This window comes from Homo sapiens, chromosome 15 (assembly GCF_000001405.40).
Source record: "Homo sapiens chromosome 15, GRCh38.p14 Primary Assembly".
Classification (NCBI taxonomy): domain Eukaryota; kingdom Metazoa; phylum Chordata; class Mammalia; order Primates; family Hominidae; genus Homo; species Homo sapiens.
Window position 1 is genome coordinate 32,765,235 of NC_000015.10, and position 21,444 is coordinate 32,786,678.

The 21,444-nt window shown below is 38.2% G+C and overlaps 1 protein-coding gene and 1 long non-coding RNA gene across 12 annotated transcripts in view, besides 2 other annotated features; one reads left to right on the top strand and one right to left on the bottom strand.

Annotated features, from left to right (window-relative positions):
- Positions 310-21,444, bottom strand: part of FMN1 (formin 1) — a 429,171-nt gene continuing 408,036 nt past the window's right edge. For all 10 annotated transcript variants that reach the window (XM_011521509.4, NM_001277313.2, XM_011521504.4 and 7 more), the window contains 2 exons: positions 11,601-11,685; positions 310-9,120 (listed from right to left, as the gene is read on the bottom strand). In XM_011521509.4, coding sequence (XP_011519811.1) covers positions 9,076-9,120; positions 11,601-11,685 — 130 coding nt within the window. In that variant the 3' untranslated portion in view covers positions 310-9,075. The remainder of the gene's footprint in view (positions 9,121-11,600; positions 11,686-21,444) is intronic.
- Positions 8,334-9,533: an enhancer, noted in NCBI's record as "P300/CBP strongly-dependent group 1 enhancer chr15:33065769-33066968 (GRCh37/hg19 assembly coordinates)". NCBI's record gives its function as "activates an origin of replication core promoter dependent on BRD2, BRD4, P300/CBP, MED14 and CDK7 cofactors, with strong dependence on P300/CBP, by STARR-seq in HCT116 cells {active_cell/tissue: HCT116}" and the evidence as "EXISTENCE:reporter gene assay evidence [ECO:0000049][PMID:35650434]".
- Positions 16,524-17,087: an enhancer, noted in NCBI's record as "OCT4-NANOG hESC enhancer chr15:33073959-33074522 (GRCh37/hg19 assembly coordinates)". NCBI's record gives its function as "activates a minimal SCP1, AML or CMV promoter by ChIP-STARR-seq in naive and primed H9 embryonic stem cells {active_cell/tissue: H9 hESC(naive and primed)}" and the evidence as "EXISTENCE:reporter gene assay evidence [ECO:0000049][PMID:30033119]".
- LOC107984089 (uncharacterized) overlaps positions 19,244-21,444 on the top strand; it is a 36,512-nt gene continuing 34,311 nt past the window's right edge. For both annotated transcript variants that reach the window (XR_002957769.2, XR_002957770.2), the window contains exon 1: positions 19,244-19,440. This is a non-coding gene — a long non-coding RNA (uncharacterized LOC107984089). The remainder of the gene's footprint in view (positions 19,441-21,444) is intronic.

The window sequence follows — 21,444 nt, forward strand, 5'->3', positions numbered from 1 at the left end:
GTCCCTTGGGCAATGTATATTCAGGAAGTGTTGCTTTTGGGTAAGCCTTGTTGAGACAATGCCTGGCTGGTTTTGTCTGTTGGTTGTTAGCCTTGAATGTCTGGCCAAGTTGCCCACAGTTGATAGGGGACAAATGGGAGAAAAACGGAAATACCAACGATAGACTTCCTCAGACTCAGCTCTTGCAGCTCAGAATAGTGTACCCGAGTGGTAACGCAAGTTAGAAATGACTGGTGTTCTCCACATTACAGTACTACTGGGATATTGCTTTACATGCCTCCTGAAAACAAATCTGCATTGCACACCAGATGGACATGAAACCAAGATTTATTAAAATACCCTTAGCATATTTACAATTGAAAGCCATGAATGCAATTCTCTGTAAATTCCAAAAAATATAATTCTCTTAAAACAAATTAACAGAGGTATCAACAGATTAGGATAAATATAATCTATCACAGAGATAGAATTTTTTGAATAGACAATTGACGTTTTTCTAATCAATATATATTATGTACAAAAATACACTTGATATTGTGACCAAGTACTGTCAAGGAGGAAAAAATATATATATATAATACACACATTTTTATTATGTACAAATCAGTGTTGGTTCCTTCACTCTCTTTTTAAAAATAAATACTTCATTTGGTTGCAAATGACATTTATAAATTCAACTCATGAGCATTTCTCAGCTTTGACAAAATTAAATATGCAAACAAATTAGAAATACGTATTTTTAAAAATGCAAAGGGAAAAATACCTGAATCCAATGAGCTTATTATGCTTAAAAATATCCCAAGAGCGTGTAAGGTTTCATGTCTTTAAAGGGCCTTCTCCTTTCCCCAACTGTCTTCATTACTGCCTACAATCTTTTCAGATTATATCTACAGACTGGTCTAATACTTAATTAAACAGAAAAGCCTATGTTTTACCAGGTTAAATGGCTATTTAGGACATGCTTGCACTTTTAAGTGCTTTCAAGAGTGTAGCAGTTACTGTTCATCTGAAAATAACCAAGAAGTGTCAACATCCTGATTCAGAACAGGGGTAGATGTTTGAATCATGAATAGTAGTAAGAATGGAGCGGCAATAAAAATCCTTATGATTCAAAGTGTTTGCCTGCACAGAATTAAGTCAATTTGTCCAGCACCACAGAAAGTTACTTGAGATTCAAAAATCTGGCGTTCTGCATCATAGCTGGTGACCCGGTCTGATGTACAAATTTATCAAGAGAATGGCCTTAATTAGTTTAAGGTAAAATCTATGAGAAATTGAGAAGGCCTAGAATAAGAACCCCCCCCCCACCCCGCCCAATCTTCTTAAAATAAAATAAAAAGAGACGTATTTTCCATCTCTTTTATGGATTTTCCTTTTTGCTTAAGTGATGAGGTGATGCTGACATTAACAAGAGGCAGTCACAGCAGTGTGTCTCACATGGGCTCCTTGGTGACAGCGGAGCTCCCTGTCCAAACGGCTGAGGAACGGAGCACAGGGTGTGAGAGGATGGAGGAGGGGCCAAGGGAGCTACTCAGTTGTCTATGATGCAGAGGTGTGAAAAAATCTGGGTCTGGGGGAAACTGTAAAGTAGGAAAGAAATAGCCATGGAATATGAAGGAAAAGGACGAGGAAACAGAAGTATTGAAAGAAGAAAGTGAAACAAAGCTAGAAGTCAAAATGACTTTTGAACAGGCATGGAGTAAACAGGGTCTATGGTCAAGCAGCCCCATGGATCTGAAATTGTTGGAGCTGTTAAACCAAGCACAGACCAGTTTCACTGGGGTACCTGCTTTCCCAGTACATTGGCACTGATCAATACAAGATCAAGGGCACTCACATTTGCCTAATACAGATGCCTTGAATTTCCACGGAAAAGCTGTCCACGATACGACCATGGCAAAAAATCACCAGCTCCCTAACAATGTAATCTATCAGCAAAACATTGCACTAGCCTCGTTCAAATTTTTCTCCTCCATGCGTCCTTTTTTTCTTGCTCATCCCATTGCTTGCAAACTCACAAGATACCAGTTATATGAAGACATAAAACTGCATGGATCAGGTGCACTTTAGAAAGCAGCATCCAGGGTCCAGGGTGTCACTAAGAAAACTAAACCCTGAAGTACTTGAAATAATTTACATTTCTGCTAGGTCTGATTCATACTAGGATGTTGACTGCCTTCACTCAGGTTCTAGGCATGCAGGCCAGTGCTTATTTTCCAGGCCAAAGCACGATCCCCTAAATCAAAGTCCAAGGCCACCCTGCTTGCCATGCTAGTCTAAATGAAAACTCAATGAAAGAAAAAGACTATGATAAACCAATGTTTTCTCTAAAGATTCTTAAAAATTATCCAATTTCTAATTTTAAAAGTTTCTGCCTTTTTAGTATTTTAGATTGGTTCTTTAAAGGGAAGTTCTTTTTATTAATGCATACTCTCTTTGAAGATAAGACATCTAGCTGACAGTAGGGTCATATTACTTATGCCTTGGGAAATTACAGAATTGCACAATTATAAATTTAATAATTTTGGAGTAGACCTATCCCTTAGGTAGATCCCCAAAACCTATTTGTGTCATTGCGAGCAAACAGAAGAATTGATACTAGACTTTCCCTCTCACTCATGGATTTGTTTTCAATGGAAATGGAAGCCTTCCAAATATTATGCAGAACACAATCTCAGTGGCGCTGAGCTACCTTCTTTATGCCTTGTGGTCCAATGTATGAAGAAATAAGATTTTATCTAGAGACAAGTTAGCATGAAGCGAGGAAAAAGGAGATATTTATAATTCACAAAAACATCTAAAATGTAAAGATTTCAAATGTCCTTTTAGTCCCTTACTGGGAAGAGCAGTATAATTTTTGTATGCTATAAACTCCTTTTTATACATCTCCTATAAAGAAATCTGGAATTCAAAATCCATGCTAAGAGTTTCCAGAGTGTTCATCCCTCAACACTTATCATCCATGTCATGGGGAGGTAGAGAGTAATTTCCCTGAATAGCCAGTGGTCTATGGGACTAACCTTTCATTTGGGAAAGACAGATCTGGAAAGCGAACCCAGTTAACAGTCAAAAACACATTCGTTTCATAAGAGGAAAGTGGAAGAAAGCCCCTGAAGAGAACAATGAAGGAAAGCAGGTACACGTTTGCCAAGGACATTAACAAACAATTGCTAATGTGTGCCTGAAATCTGATTTCCTTCTTGATGTATTAAGATAATGCATTGGCAGCTCACACTATACATGGAGAGAAATATTCATATTAATTTAAGACGTTCTCATAGTTTCAAAGGTAGAGAGCCCCTCAGTGTCTGCACAGGTAGAATTTAGGAAAATGTTCAGCCTATGTGAGAGCTATAGTGTGGTAGAGGTTGTTTAATCCATGCCAAATTCTTTGGACGTGATTTTCTGCCTGAAACTATAGTCTTCTTTGCATTTTGCTGGCCCAATGTCATCAAGTTTCACACAAAGCTTGGAAAAATAGCCCACAAGTGTAGTTGGATCAGCCTTTAGAAAAGGAGACTAGAGATTCTCAGTATATTTAAGAGAAGATTTAAAAATAGAAAATTACATAAGCGTAGAGGGAATGTAGAAAAATAAATTGATGGCTATATCTAACACCTTCATATAAAAATGGAATAAAAGTCAATCTTCCCCACATCAAGAACTTCAGAGATGTAATATAAAGTCTGGAGTTCACATGAGCTCTTGACTGAAGGACACGATCCTATCAGAGAAAGGTAAGAGAGAAAAGGTCTTCTATGGCCCTGGTTATCACCATAGTTAGGAGAAGGGCTGGGGATAGAGGAGGAAATGAGTTCCGTAAGTTCCACCAGACAGCAGACCTACTGAATGAGGCTTAATTTGCTTCCCTAATCTCTCCATTGGTAGAAATTGCATAGTGGCTTAAGAGACAGTTAGCCAGCTGCCATTTTAATATCTTCATGTTTCCAAGTTGTTAACTACACGTTTCCCAAATCCTAACTTTATATCACAGTATTGGTTAAGAGTCTTGGAACAAATAAGGATACTGAATTGGCTTCAAATTTGACATGTTAAAACTCTCTTAAATTCATCACTTTCCAACAAAGCATTGATCTGGAAGTTCAGTAGATTGCCCATTCCTTGGGAAGGGAGATGAAGAATTGTGAAACCAAAATGCAGTGCCTCTAATAAGGTGTCAACAGCGGACAGGTGTGCAGAAATGACACAAAATGGGCTTCCCAGTCACAGACAAGCTGTGTAACTGAGCCCGGTTATGCCTGGATTCAATTGCTAATGGAGAGATGAATATCATTATGTAAGTCTAAAGAAGAAAGATATGCTAAGTCAAGTATTTGAAGATGCTTTTCTTTAAGCCACTTCTATACTAATAACAGTTTCCAGGCAGCTGGATTGTTTCTCTCTATAGCTGGAAAATGGAAATATATCCAAGTTATTTGCATTTTGGAAAGGCTAAAAATTATCCACTCTTTTCAAATCCCATCAGCTTGGCCACACAGACTGGTTTCATCTGTGTTGCAGATTTCTTTATGAGGTCAAAGTAGCAGACATGAATGAAAGTTCACTTCTTTATTCTCTCCACTCTCTTCAGTTGTAGGGTCCCTAAAGGTAAAATAACTAATACAAAACAAATTTTAAAAAGTGGAAGCTTTTTCTTTCCTCTCCACTTTTTGGCCATTTTTGTTTTTATTAGGACAGACAGGATAAAAGAAAAATGAAGCTCAAATATAACTGATGCTTGTTAGCAATTTAAAAAGACAATTTAAACTGTTTTATAAAATCAGATATTTAATATTTGGATCAGATATGTGGGAGGGGGGAAGGCTATATATTTTTGGACTTCTTCCTTTTTGTCATATAAAGCTCCAAATTGATTTTATCTTTGTTGTTTTTGTGGATGGAGATGAGTACTACAAAATTGACCAATTTAGTATGTCAGGGAATGAAGAGGTTCCCCGGTCAATGTTACAGCCTGGTTCCTGGAAAAAGAGCCTGCAAGCGTGCATTGCTAATTCCCATTCACACACTGACTTGGCGCAATTTGCTGTGCTGTTGTATGCAATGATCTGCATCAATGACACTGGCCAAGGGAGAAGCAGAAACAGAAATGAGGACATGTAACTTTCAAGAAAGGAAGAGTATCATTAAAATGAAAATTTCTCTGTTGCAAACATCATAGAGAAAATGTGCAATCCCAGGCCAATAAGCAAATCTTTGCCCAAAATAAACATATTTCTTCTGCTACATCTCACTGCGGCCCTTAGAAAAACCGTACCAATGACTTATCTTACTGGAGGTGTTAATACCACCAACATATTTTATTCCTTCCTTCAGTTTTTCCAGTTTCTTTACCAGCAGTATCTGAACTTTTCATTTAGGAAACACCATTCTTCATGGTGCTTATGAAAACAGGAGGTGCCTGAAGGAGGCTGAGAAGAGGTTTGCAGCTTCTACTGTCCTTGATAGGGGAGGGGAGGGGAGACTGCATGCCATCTGATATTCAATTCCTCAACCATACTGGCAATTTGTTTTGGCTAGAACATTTAAAAGTGTAATAGCTCCACTGGGTTTCCTTATTCCACTTCTCAGATTTCAGAAAATCTTTATAATTCCTGAGTAGTTGCAGTGAGTGTGTAGAAAGACACCATCATCAACATAAGGATTCAAAAGGCAACTGTTGGGCAGTAGGACCATCACCTATGACCTCTGGGCCCCCACCGTCATCATAAACATCCACTTCTGCTTGGCCACACTTTTTCTTATTTCTTTTTCCCCAGTAAGCTGCCACTTATTGAGATAAAAGCCATACAGCACACCTCCTAACCTGGTTTTTGATACTTCATGGGCCTGATGCTTTTTTTTTTGAAACGGAGTCTCACTGTCGCCCAGGCTGGAGTGCAGTGGTGCTATCTCGGCTAGCTGCAAGCTCCACCTCCTGGGTTCACGCCATTCTCCTGCCTCAGCCTCCCGAGTAGCTGGGACTACAGGCGCCCACCACCACGCCCGGCTAATTTTTTGTATTTTTAGTAGAGATGGGGTTTCACCGTGTTAGCCAGGATGGTCTCAATCTCCTGACCTCGTGATCCGCCCCCGCTTGGCCTCCCAAAGTGCTGGGATTATAGGCATGAGCCACCACGCCCGGCCCGGGCCTGATGCTTTTTACCTAACGTGTCTGTAGTGTAATTTATGATGTACTTTGTGTAATTTATGTAACTTATGATATTGTGTGCTCTGATGCTGTCAATTGCTCATGCAAGAATCTGAACTACTGTCAAACTGTGTCCTCAGATTTAATGAATATTGTCTAAGAGGAGACAAAGTTGTTTGTAAGTTAAGGGTTCTTAGAGTTACTACTAAGTCAGGTGTGTCTGGTTAGATGCAGCATAGCAAACTGGTTACTCTCCTTTCTAGTTCAGGGAGGGCTATGCCTAGAACAGCCACTTAAAGCCTGCTGGCAGGATGTGCTTAAGCTGCCAAATGGCATCCCGATCACCTCCTCTCCAGGAAAAGTTCAGATCCTCCTGCTACACTGAACACAAGCTCAACAGCATTTTAGAGGGATCATTTTCAAGGCCTCCAGATTATTTTAGATGAACTTCCTTGAACAAATTGTCATTGACCTTTACTGAGCATCAATTTGAGTTAAAAATGAAGGCTGTGTCAGCAACGTGGTACATTGGTGGACTTGGGAGGGGGCATCCCAGATACATGATGCAGGGTTCAGAATAGGTGAGAATAATGAAGATTCTGCCATGGTGTCTTACAACACTAACATCATACATCGACTAGTGTGACAAAACCACTAGGTTTCCCCAACCGAGGCAGGCAAACCTTGCTTTGTAGAAATAGGTATTTTACTGCAAAGTTTTAGTCTGTTCACTAGGATGAAATCCAAAGTGGGCTGTATTTGTCTAACTCTCAAATTAAGTGTTCTCACTCATTATTCTTCAGCACTGGTTCCTGAAGGGTTACGTGGCCACAGTGGCAGCCCTGCTTACCTTCACTGATTTCTCGTAAGCATCCTACTTACAGACCAAAGTGGACTGCAATGAGTACACCTCAAACCTCCCGCTGCTCTCACCATCAAGCCTATAAGGATTGAGACTTCTGCTGGCCCCACATAACTCAAAAGAGCTGAATTATATGGCATGGGTAAAACTGGCACTTTTCTTGTGCATGATAACACTAGAAGGAGCATACAATGGTTATAAGTGGAATCAGTTTTTAATTGATCCGTTCTTTTGGTTGTCTTCAGAGTTAAGTGAAAATGAAGAGAAACTATGTAAGAAAGCAGCATAAAAAGCTTCTTGCTCACAAGCAACTTCAAGCCTTTTTAGTCATGCATGTTCCTTCTCGGCTTTTCTGTTTTGCTTGTCTCGTTCCTTCATTGTGAATTTTAAAAATCCAACCATGTTACCATATTCCTTTCAGTTGCACCAGTAGAAAAGGCGGTTAGCACCTGCATGAATATGGCTTCTGTGACTTGATTTGATCCTGACTGCAGTCTTCATTCTCGAAGCTGACATTAGATTAGGATATGGTGCTGCTTTCATTACTGGATCTATTATAGAAGCATTCCTGAGGGGCTGCTGGCTGGCAGGCATATCCTGGGAAGATGCTCAGGCACCTGGCAAGTCCAGGGGTTCTGGAAAGATGCTGGGGCAAGGGGCAGGCCACATGTGGAGGCTGGATCAGGAAGGAATTTAAGATTTCTGCTCATCTCTGGACTGTCCTCCACCAATTGGGGGGAGAAAGCTCGGCCTCTTCAAGGCCTAAAAATGAGTCTTTGATCATATTGTCCATTCATCTCCAGTCCTCTTTCTTCACCCCTCACAAGATTTCAGAGACGTGGCTTAAAGACAAAAGTGTCAGAGAGGTCAAAGGTGGTTTCCTTATGTGACTCAAGAGCCAGGGTCAGAAAGAGCTGCCTGTGAACAATATTCCACTTGGAAGTTTTCTATTAATGTAATTACTTTCATTTTGATGTAAGGAACCTTTTTTCTGCCCTTCAGTTTTTTTGACATTAAAGAGTCCTGCTTCATCCTACTTCACATGCCTATCAGCCAAGGTCATGAGCAGGTGCTGTGAGTTGCATTTGCTCTCCTGTCTGGAAACTGCCTCCTGGGGATGGGGGTCGTCCAGCTGCACAGTCACAGCACATAACGTAGAACTCGGCTGCGTATCAACACAACATTGCCCATTCATGAACGGTCCAAAATGTAAAAGGTGCTCTGCCGCTGGGTCTCTTGTCCAAGCACACCCAAGGCTGTGCTTGCTCAGGTATTACATTTTCTCCTGGGAGTTGGGGTGCAGAATCTCTGCTGGCCCAGAAAAACCACAAAGGACCGATGTAAAAACAAGAATGGGCCTCACTTAACAACTGATGTCAACTCCTTGCATGGTAACTTGTTCTCCAGGATGAAGTTTATGGCTATTTGTCTCCCTCTCTCCACCCAGGTATGATTCTGTTTTTTCTCCTTTTCATCACGTAAACCATAACAACAAAAAATCATTTTTTTAGTCTGGATAATACATGTTCTTGGACCTCTTCAAGAATAGTTTTGGTGAGTTGCAACATTATTGGAGAGAAAGATGCTGCAGGATTTTGCTGCAACAGGATCAAAACTAAGACCAATAATCAAAACAGCAGTGTGTAACGACAAAGACTTGAACTCTCCCAAGGCAACTGTCCTCAATGATCTTTTCTCTCTTCTGTGACAATGTGACATATATCAAGCTTTGGTTATAAAGCTGGAAATCTCAGCTTTTAAAAAAATTTTGGAAACATTTTGGTATTTCTTCTGCTCTTAGAGTGGACTTTGGGCTTCCACAAGAAACAGTCATCAAATATTTCTGCAATGTTCCCTTAAATAGTTTTCCATTGTTCCTGCGGCTTAATGAGGGACTTCTTAAAGAAGGCATGGGGCACTCTCTGCAGATGACCTCAGAAAGAGATGAGCAAAAACAAACATTTAGTGACACATCTTTCAAGAACGTCCTGCAACCCTGTGGTCACAAAGAGTATGCGTGCAAGGTCCTCCACCTCCAGTGCCATCATTTCCATGTGTCTTCATCTTAGTTAGTGGTCACACTGGCTTCCTTCTGACGCAGTCTTTCTTTCTGTTAAGGAAAAAAAAATGAATGTATCATTTTCTTTCATCTTTCTCAAGTTTTGATACATTTCTCAAATTTTGGTCTAGAATGCTGAGTTTCCGGAATTGTGCCAAATGGCCTAGAAATGAGAGTACCTCTACTGCTTTCCCTAAGCTCTTAGTTATCTGCCCCTCCCTACCTATCACCCTTACTCCCCAGAAAAACAAACAAGAAATCAATAACCAGCCAATCTACCAACTACATCCATCTAAAACACGGGCCTTTACCATGCCAGGGTGGTCTTTTCTGTTCTCTTCTTTTGTGACAAAGACCCTAACTTTGTAGTGTTACTCAAGGACCCCTTCCGTCCCTACCTTTGGCTCATTGATGGAATTAGAGAATGCCCAAGAAGATATGAAAAAAAAAATTACTATTTCCAATGATCAACTTGGCAGAACTCAACAAAAGCCATGCAAAATGGGAGATGACCAGATTTAGTCTCTGCAGAATGGCAGAAGTTCCCGATTTGCCATGGATGTTATGCTCTTCATTCTCCGAGCTTCCTCCTCAGAGACTGCCTTCTAAAGGGAAGGACATGGACATCTGCTGGGAAGACGTAAGAATACACAGGAGCACACTACACAGAAACATGGACCCCCATGGTATCTGTGACACTAGGGAAGCACACATATCAGTATGGTAAGGATGGTGTGCCTGCTCTGGGAGGAGGGTAAATAGAAGGCTAAAATGGAAAAGGGAGAAGTATACTCTTTTGGAATGAGCAGATGCAGAGAGAAGCCTTTGAGAATGGATCCTTAGCTGCTTATGAGCTATGAGATATGATGTTGCAGTGAATTACTAAATTGGCCTAGATATAAACTTAAGTTGATGATTTTTCGACACCCATCCTAAATTTGGACCCCATCCCTAACTTGCGAAATTGAATCAGGAATCAGTTTACAAGCTCTTCCCTGATTTCCACCCACCCACCCACACAGACAATAAAATAAGCAGCCCCAACAAGCCCAGGATCACAACTGGGAGCTTGCTCACAGGGGAGGTCGTAAACCCACTGTTTCCCTTTTGTCTATATGGCTGACCCCATTCTCTCTGCCTTGGGGGAACAAGCTTGGCTGTAAAAGTCTGGATAGAGGCCCAAATAAAAGGTCTGAGGAAGAGGGAGAGGCTCATGAAGGAAGAAGACAAAAATCAGGGTTCAGCCGACTGCCACTGAAAGTCATACAAATGAATGTCATAAATATACCATCAAACGGGTACAAAGGACATGTCCGGTTAGGTAGGGGCCATGTGCTCAACCATGGCTTTCCCCGACCAAAAAGTATAGCCCGGACTTCTCCATTTCTCATTCATCAACCTCATGCAACATTCATTTAGCTGCTCATGGGGTTGTTGGGAGAAACATTATGGTCAATCAACAGAAATAATCTCACTTTGTAACTTAGAACCCATTTATATTTTCAAAGGATTTGAAGCATCCAGCAAAAAGGTACTAATAATCTAAAAGGATAAAGTAAGTAGTTGTTGGACATCAGGGCCCAGAGAGGACAGAGTTTGAAAAATCCGAGAGAGGAGGGTGATACTTCCACTTCCCACTCATTGCCATTCCCCATTGCAGGGTCAACCAAAGCAGCTGAAATTCACAGCAACAAGGAAAACAACTAATATTTATTGAGCTCTTATTATGTGTTAGGCATTTTACATGTCTTTTCTCAGTTTTCTCAAAATAACCCCAAAAAAAAAGTAGTATGTTCTTTTCATGGAAGAGAAAGAAACAAAGTAACTTCACTAAGGTTTTACAACTATTTAAGTGGCAGAGCTGTGATCTGAACCCAGGCCATTTCATTCTCGGCATCCTGGGATCCTAACCATGTAGCTATTCTGACTATTGTCCGTAACACCTAGGTGGAGATTCATTGTGATCTCTACTGAAAACTGGACTTTGGAGGACAACGCAATCTCACATATAGGAAGGCTGGGGAGACTGCTGGTTTCCAGCATAGGGAGAGATGTCAGGAGACCCAGAATCTGGTCCTGGCTTTTGTTATCCACTTGCTAAGTGACCCTGGGTAGGCTGTATCTTTCTGCACTTCAAATTTTCCAACTATCAAAATAGGAGAATCCCTGCCTCTTTCTTTAATGGGGAAAAGGAACTGAAGAGAATGAATATATTTAAACATTTTGAGAAAAAGATACTTTGAGATAAGGGTGACTGTACTGCGGGTAGGGTGTGGAAGGATGTGAAATGGTAAGTGACTAAATTTGGTTTATCAGAAATGACCTATGTTGAGTTTACAGGAAAAACATATAAAGCTATGTTTTGTACCTCCACCCACACATACTTTTTTTTTTTTTTTTTTAACCATATGCTACTCTGGGATGGGAACTGAGAATCTGGATACTATGTTTCATCTCTGAGCTTTAGCCCTTCCTGGGCGCACCTCAATTTTCATGACAATCGTTAGATTATGTTGAAAAATATATCTCACCAGGCTAGCAGTGGGATTGATTTTCTTTGTCTCCACTTTCTTCTCTGAAGTCAACTTGCTGACTGATTCCTGAGCCATTTTCAATCTGAAATAGAAATAGGGAAAAGACAGGGGAGAGAGGGAAAAGAAAGGAAGAGGGAAAAGGAAAGAAGAAAAGAGTTAAGGCAGGTTAAACATAAACCCAAATGCTTTTGAATTAATCCATCAGCAATTTGAAAATACTGAAATGTTTTTTCAATGCTTGTTATTAAATTCAAATCCTAATTAGGTGTGAAGGCTTCTCTGCTTTATCAAAATTTAATTTTCTTCACCAGCTGAAGCCTGTTTTTGTGAACAATGTGGTAGTTTCTGATGGATGGAGTACTATGTGCACAGAGCATTATTTACTTCAGTGTTATCCGGCTTGTGATCCACTTAGCAGATAATGAGATGATTTTGAAGAATGAAGTTCTGAGGAAATGTGAAACTACAAATACTAAAATTCACGAATTCACATCAATTAAGATGTGATAACCTATAGAATGGGAAAAAAGATAACCTACGGAATGGGAAAATATAAATATATGTATTTTTCATTCTGTAGGTTTTTTTCCATTCAAAAAATATATTTATATATTATATTTATATATTACGTATATTTATATATTATATTTATATATTACGTATAACATATAACACATTTATATATTACGTATAACATAACATTTATATATTACGTATAACATATAACACTTTATATATTACGTATAACATATAACACTTTATATATTACGTATAACATAACACATTTATATATTACGTATAACATAACACATTTATATATTACGTATAACATAACACATTTATATATTACGTATAACATATAACACATTTACTTATATATTACGTATAATATATAATACATTTACTTATATATTATGTATAATACATTTATATACTATGTATAATACATTTATATATTATGTATAATATAATACATTTATTTATATATTATGTATAATATATAATACATTAATTATATATTATGTATAATATATAATACATTATATATTATGTATAATATATAATACATTATATATTATGTATAATATATAATACATTATATATTATGTATAATATATAATACATTTATTATATATTATGTATAATATATAATACATTTATTATATATTATGTATAATATATAATACATTTATTATATATTATGTATAATATATAATACATTTATTATATATTATGTATAATATATAATACATTTATTATATATTATGTATAATATATAATACATTTATTATATATTATGTATAATATATAATACATTTATTATATATTATATAATACATTTATTTATATATTATATAATACATTTATTTATATATTATATAATACATTTATTTATATATTATATAATACATATATGTATAATATAGAAATATATATTTTATATATATATATATTTTTTTGAGACAGAGTCTTGCTCTGTTGCTCAGGCTGGAGTGCAGTGATGCGATCTCAGCTCACTGCAACCTCCACCTCCAGAATGGGAAAAATATTTTTAAATCATATACCTGATAGAAACTTGTGTCTGGAACACAGAAAGAACTCTTACAATTCAAATAAGAAGACAAATTATACCCCCTCCTCTAAAAATGGACAAGGGATTTGAATAGACATTTCTCCAAAGCTGACATACACATGGTCAATAAGCACGTAAAAAGATGCTCAACATCATTAGTCATCAGAAAATGCAAATCAAAACCACAATGGGATACCACTTCACATCCACTAGGACGGCTAGAATCAGAAAGGAAGACAGTAACAAGTACTAGAGATGAAGATGTGAAGAAACTGGAACCCTTATACACTGTTGATGTGATTGTAGAATTACACAGTTGCTTTGGAAAACAGTTTGGCCGTTTTCCAAAACGTTAAGCACAGAATTACCATATGACCCAGCAATTCTACTGCTAGGTACATAAATATATCTATAACTAAGAAAATTGAAAAGATGTCTATATAAAAATTTGCATATGAATGTTTATAGAACCACTATTTATAGTAATCAAGAGTAGAAGCAACCAAATTTCCATCACCTGATGGAAAAATTAAATGTGGTATATCCATACAATGGAATACTACTGAGCCATAAAAAGGAATGAATTTGCTGATACATGCTACAACATGGATGTACCTCAAAAACATTGTGCTAAGTGAAAGAAGCCAATCACAAAAACACATGACTCTATTTATATGAAATGTTCAGAACAGGCAAATCCATACAGAAAGTAGGTTAGCAAAACTATGGGTTTCCCCATGCTGGGGAAAATGGGGAGTTATTGCTAACCAGTCAAAGATTTCCTCTAAAATCAGATAGAGGTAATGGTTGTAGACCCTTGTGAACATACTAAAAACCACTGTGTAGTGAAGTGATACTAATGTGTATGGAATTGTACACTTTAAAAGGGTGAATTTTATGATATGTAAATTCTATCTCAATACAACTTATTAAAAATTCATTAATTCAGCATGATAGTATTTCTTACCCATCAGGTTGGCAAATGTAAACAATTAGACAATATTAACTGTTTGTGAGGATGCAGGGGAATGGGAAGTGCCACACAGTGCACTAAGGAGAAGAAATTGGTCTAGTTGGGTTTGGCAATATCAAGTAAAACTGAAAGCATGTACACTCTACGAGCCATCAAGTTTTCTTGTAGGGAGATACCAAAAAGAATTATAAACAGACACAGAGCTTTCACTGTGGCAATATATGCAATCAAGAAAAACTACAGACAACCTAATGAATAGGTTCAACAGGGTGATATATGAGAATAGCAAATAACAACTAACATTTATTGGGTACTTAATCTGTACCAGGTGCTGTTCTACCTACTGTATTTGAATTAAACTTAATTTTCACAACTCTGTGAGATAGGAACTTCTACTATTCCCATTTCATAGGTCTTAACCACCATGCAATGTGCAATGCTGCTTATGTACTGTATTCATTCAACAGAATAGGGTATAACAGTGAGAAGGAATGAACTAGATCTACAAATTCAAAAATCACAGGAATCAGAGGCATGATACTGAGAGTGAAGAATCCTGCAGTGATACAGTGAATAGTCCATCTGTGATGATGGTCAAGAGCTCAGGCTCCAAAGCCTGATTGCAGAATTAATTCTCAGCCCTATCACTTATTAACTGTGTGACCCTGCACAAGGGAACTCTCTGTGTGCCTTATTTCCTAAAAAACATGACAGTAATAGTGCATGCTACATAGGATCAATAAGAGGACTGAGACAGTATCAGAAGCATGTGAACCAGAGCAACTCCATCTTCAATAGAAGCTGGGTAAAATGAGGCTGGAACCTTTTGGGCTGCATTTCCAGATGACTAAGGCATTGTAAGACACAGGAAGAGACATGAGGTCAGCACAAGATACAGGTCATAAAGACCTTGCTGATAAAATAGGTTGCAGTAAAGAAGCTGACCCAAACTCTCCAAAACCAAGATGGCCACCTAGTGACCTCTGGTCGTCCTCACTGCTACACTCCCATTAGTGCCAAGACAGTTTACAAATGTCATGGCAATAGTCAGGAAGTTACCCTGTATGGTCTTAAAAAAGGGAGGCATGAATAATCTATCCCTTATTTAGCATGTCATCAAAAAATAACCATAAAAGTGGGCAGCCAGCAGCTCTCAAGGCTGTTCTGCCTATGGAGTAGCCATTCTTTTATTCCTTTACTTTCCTGATAAACTTGCTTTCCCTGTACTCTACAGACTCACCCTGTATCCTTTCTTGTGTGAGATCCAAGAACCCTCTTTTGGGGTCTGGATTGGGACCACTTTCCTGTAACATCTTTCTGGCAACCACAGAAGGGACTATAGTGAGGAAACCCCTGACCCAAAGGCTAGCTTTGGGTAACCGGTGGGGTCCTGTATCAGCAGTACAGCTCCAGGCAGGCGGTAATAGCAGAATAAATGTAAGCTGCTATTGTTACTTTGCATGCAGTATGCTACACTGTGCGTATAATTTTAAATTGAACCCATACATACAGACATCTATCTGTATTTATATATGGATACACACATATGAAAGTATTCAAAATAGACTAGAAAGATACTCAATAATTTCATGATAGAGGTTATTGCTAGAAAGATCTGGGAAGAGAATGACACTGGCAATAATATGCCAAGTAGAATTTCATTTTATCTGTAATACTTCATTTTTAAACTTAAAATCTTAAAGAATATATGATGCATGTTAATAGTTATAATTCTAGGTAGTGGGAATATGGGTGTGATATGCTATCTTTTATATTTTTATTTTTAAAATTTCTTCAAAAAATCTTCAAAATAGTAAATACTTAAAGATCTATCAACTCAGACATTTAAAAAATATGCTTTTTCTTCCATGCTTCAAATAAAAATATCTTACTTAATATTAATCACATACTTGTTGGCATCTGTAAGTGGCTGAGTAGCTTAGCTCTTTATTTAGCTAATGTTATACAATTTGCTTAAAACACACATTTAGTAATCCCATCTCCCTGCCCACATGCACACGTTAGTTACAATGAATTCAACATTCTTACTTGTGCACTGGACAATAAATTAATTCTACTGTTGCAGTGGGAAAGCAGCCATCTGAAAAATGCATCAACGACCGGGCTATGCTATGTTCTGATAGATTTTATTGACAAATACTGGTAGTGGGCCAGATCCGGCTCATAGGCTGTAGTCTGCCAATTCCTGGACTGTATCATAGGATTCAAAATCTTATGCTTTTGGACTGGCAATACAATCTCCCTGCTATAAACCCAGTTTACTTATCTTACCTTTTCAGACCCAGATCTGTTGTTGTATTCGTAGTATGCTGGTTTAATTAGCTGAGTATCCTTGGATAAGTCATGTAACCCCCAAACCTCAATTTCCTCATCTCTTTAAAGTGTGAATAATACCACACCTAATAACATTGTTGCTATAAAAATTAAAGAAAATACTATATGTGATTACTGATCAAGCATCTTTTCCTTCACCTCACTCCACGTGTTCCATGACCCACCCAAACGACTTACATTCTTTGTACATGGCTTTTTCTCACCTTTGCATCTTGCTTTTACTGTTCCCTCAATGACGGTCTGAGTCATTTCCATGCATGCAAATTCTTCCCATTCTTCTATTTACAGCTTAAGTGTCAAAGTCATGAAAGCTTCCTTCATCTCTCTTAGCCAGAAGTAATTGCTCTTTTCTTAAATGACAAAGCACTTTGTGCCTCTCTTAAGGTACTTAAGGCATTTCATCTTAGAACTGAGTAGGTGTCTTATTTTTCTTAAACCATTGGAATGACTTAGGGACAACGAGCAGGATTTATCCATATTTGGGACCTCTCCTTGTTCCTTTACCCAGCACTGTACCATGCTCAAGTCAGTTCTTAGTATCTACGTGACAAATGACATGCATTGATAACTTTTGTTTTTCTGACTTAAACAATTTAAATGTTTAGTAAATAGTTATAAAATGATTGCTTTTTGCATTTATCCTTGGGAAAAAACTATAAAAACATTTAGAAGTGTAGTTCCAGTTACTGATTAGCTGATTAAGTCTTAAACAAGGAAAAAGAAAAGATACTCAAGGCCACCCAAATGTGCTAAATATTTACACGTGTCATCTTATGTATAGATTCCAAGATACTTAAAAGTATCCACATTACTTTGCCCACAAGGAGACTAAGACTCAGTGAGGTTATGTGACTTTGTCCCAAGTCTGGAATTTATTTCTCCCACTTAGGAGGTAAGGGCTTTTTGCATTTAATCAAAGAAAATTTGCTGGTTAGACAGTTTCTAGCTGCATACACGCTCAACCTCCTCATTGTTTGTGGACTTGTTTTTGTTTCTGGCCTAAATGTTGGCTCTAATGTCCATCAGTAGATGACTGGACAAAGAAAATGTGGATCACATACACCATGAAATACTATGCAGTCATAAAAAGAATGAAATCACGTCCATTGCAGCAACATAGATGGAGCTGCAGATCATTATCCTAAGTGAAATAACTCAGAAAGAGAAAATCAAATACTGCATGGTCTCACTTATAAGTGGGAGCTAAACAGTGGTTACACATGGACATATAGAGGGAAATAACAGACGCTGGGGGTGGGGAGAGTGGGGAAGACAGTGAGGGTCAACAAATAATCTACTGGGTACAAGGTTCACTCTTCAGGTGATGGATACAGTAGAAGCCCAAACCCTGCCACTATGAAATACATCCGTGTAACAAACCTGCACAAATCCATGTACCTCCTGAATTGATAAAAACAAAAAAAAATAAAGGTTATATGGCAATCCTTACAAAAGAATTTGGAAATATAGGAAACAAACAAACATATCAGAGAAAGAAAATATATATTCTCAATTGATAAACGTCTCAGTAAAATTTTTGAAAACTTTATCTTTTCCTCTTTCTCATTATCATGCATATGCTCCCTAAGGAGTTATTGGGAGCCCCAGTAAATACCAAGTGCTGCCAAAGACTACTGAGGAAAGACACAAGTGTAAGATGGGAAAGTGAGTCATGTCCTCTGATGTTCTTGCCTAGTCTTGACTCTGTAGAAGTTGACTGTAACCTGGCCGGGTGTGGTGGCTCACGCCTGTAATCCCAGCACTTTGGGAGGCCGAGGTGAGTGGATCATGAAGTCAGATCGAAACCATCCTGGCTAACACAGTGAATCCCCATCTCGACTAAAAATACAAAAAATTAGCCAGATGTGGTGGTGGGCGCCTGTAGTCCCAGCTACTCAGGAGGCTGAGGCAGGAGAATGGCGTGAACCCGGGGTCGGGGGAGCTTGCAGTGAGCTGAGATTGTGCCACTGCACTCCAGCCTGGGCGACAGAGCGAGACTCTGTTTCAAAAAAAAAAAAAAAAAAAAAAAAAAAAAAAAAAAAAAAATAGTTGAAGTGGCGTGGCTTTCCATTTAGAGATTTAGGCTCCCCACTGTTATAGCCTCATCTTTTGGGAAAGCCTATGGGCATACTGTGGGCTTTCTACAGGTTAGAGGCATACAGCTGCAGCTAAATCAAGTCAATTTTCAGAATCTAGCCATCTGTGAGACTGAGGAAGTACCAAGTCTTTATTCTTTTGACATTCAGTATTTCACTGGTTTGTGTTGTACAAGGCAGAAGATACTGAAATCATTATGAAGTTTGTAATAACAGAAGTGCTTTTATTTTTGACCACAGGGATTGAGCACACCAGCCAATCAAGAGATAAATGAGATATGGAGGAAATGGGGCAGATAAGAGTGTTCAGGCTGCTTTACACTCCTTTTCACTATTGGAAAATCCAATAGTTTGGAGCAGTGTTTGTAAACTATTTTTCAAAGAGCTTTAACCTTCAGCAAAGGTGTTTCAGGGAGAAGAGGCAGAATTAGGGGATCCTCCAGATGCCAATGTTGGCAAGCTCTGCTTCAGTTAGAAAAGCTTTACTTTGTTTTATACATTGATGATTTATGTATGTTTTTAGACAAAAAGAGGTCTGCTTTTTTTTTTTTAACAGAACTTTTTGAAGCTCCTAGGGGGAAAAACAAAACAAAACAAAACAAAACAAAACAAACCTTCCTCTTCAGGAGAAAGACAACAGAAGCCAACAGAAAGCTTCTTCCTAAAGAACTGTCTATGAATATCTTAGAGGTAGACAACTGATTTAAGAAGACCAAGGGGATGATTCTTCTGACAGCCATAACCACAAGATTTCAGATTTTGGGCTCCAGTAAAACATCAAATCTACAAAAATCACAACATGGCCAGCTTTCCCACTCTCTTCTGCTTATTACTTTCCAGGTAAGTTCTAAGCCTGTGAGATCACCAGTGTCTGGCAAATACAGACAGGCACAGTGGGGACAGATCCAGATGAACCAGACTGTGGAAATAAGTGGGGCACCCATTTATTTCCCTCTCATAAAGGCAGAGATTGCCTCACATTTCATTATGATTCATTTTATTTATGGTCTTTTCTGGAATTTTGCTTGAGTTCCCTGATTTCTGCCCTATGCAACTTTCCAATGTCTATTTGCCTCCTTTGCTTTTAATAGCTTCAGAATGAAAATTAAATAGAGCTATCTTATTACACCTTGCCTATGGCTTCTCCCAACTTAATTCTGTGACTGCAATTAACTTTTTTTGGAGGGGGGTTCATCTGCTCATCCTCGTTTCCTTTCTTTCCCATTCAACGTATCTGTGTGAACTGTAACAAGACTGTCAACCTGTTAACTTTTGAGTAACTCTTAAGTATGATGCTAGGGGTGTGTGTGTGTGTGTGTATACGTACGTGTGTGTGTGTGTGTGTGTGTGTGTGTGTGTGTGTGTGTATATATATATATATATATTTTTTTTTTTTTTTTTTTGTAGAGATGAGGTTTCACCATGTTGCCCAGGCTGGTCTCAAACTCCTGAACTCAAGCAATCCACCTGCCTCAGCCTCCCAAAGTATTAGGATTACAGGTGTAAGCCATCAAGCCCAGACAAAGGCTAAGTTATATTTATAATGAAAAAAAGGAATTTAGGCTGATGACTGGCGTCTGGACACAACAGGTCTCAAATCATGGTTCAGGTTTGGGTTTACACTCTAACCTATGGAATTAATTTTAGTGTTTAAAAATAGGTAACTGGCCCCTGAAAATTAGCGTTATCTTTTAAACACCTATGGGTGATATGTTAGAAATTCTCCTAAATAATATGATTGGTTCATTTCAGTCAGTACAGAAAATACAATCTGGTAATACTATCAGGGCATTTTTGTTAATACATTACTTGCTTTTGTATTGTAGACAACAGGACCAAGAAGTGACTTCAGGAGCAGAGGAATAAACTTTTGGCCTCTAATGCTACTAGCTTTAAAAAGAAAGCCCTACCAGCTACCTAGTACAGTGTGACTAAAATTAATCACCGCTCGACTCAGATCATGTATGTTTCTTGATCCAAGCCATTAAAAGTTAATGGCTTTGGAAATATTGGCAGACAAAGGCAAAGAAAAGAGACACATTGAGGGAATATGGTTCATGAAAGGCATCTTGGGAAACACATGAGATCTGACCAGCTATAATATGAATCTCTTTAAAAAAAGATTTTAATATCACTCGTTGCTAAAGAAAGAAGATAAAAATGGTCTAAAAAATGGATACGGTATGCTCTGTGTGCCAACAGGTAATGTGCCTTTAAGTCAGCATGCCACAGGAAATGTCCACGTTCCCTAAAAAGTAGGATGATAAAAACTGAAGGTCCAAGCTGCTGCACCACTGGACTTACCCTAAATGTAAAGACAGGAGTTCAGAATCTCTCTAATAAATGCAAGAGCTCTTCATTCTCATGACTGTTCAGAAATACATGGACGAACATGATAAACAAAGGAACATGCAAAAAACACATTTTTACCACTGGCTCAGTCAATTCTGGCCTATGGTCCTTTGGAATGGTGAATAAGGTTTCCGTGGTATAAAAAAGGTATTGGCCCTCACTGTAGATCACACCTGTAAAATAAATGACTCACCAGTCTGACTACCCAATATAGCTTTGCTCTACCAGTCATTATCAGGGACAGCTTCTATGAGCAAATAATGACACTCTTATGGTCTCCCTTCAGAAGAAAAAGTCAGAAAAGGGGTATATAGAGCTTCAAGGATGAAATACAAAAAGGAGTGAATATTCACTCCTTTGCCATGATCTCCTTGCAGCTTTGAACTAAGTCACATCAGGCCAAGGCACAAGGAATAACATATAGACTTTGGGGCATCAGGGAAATGGCTTCCTTGCCTCAGAAAGCTCAATATCACATGGTTTATGGCATTT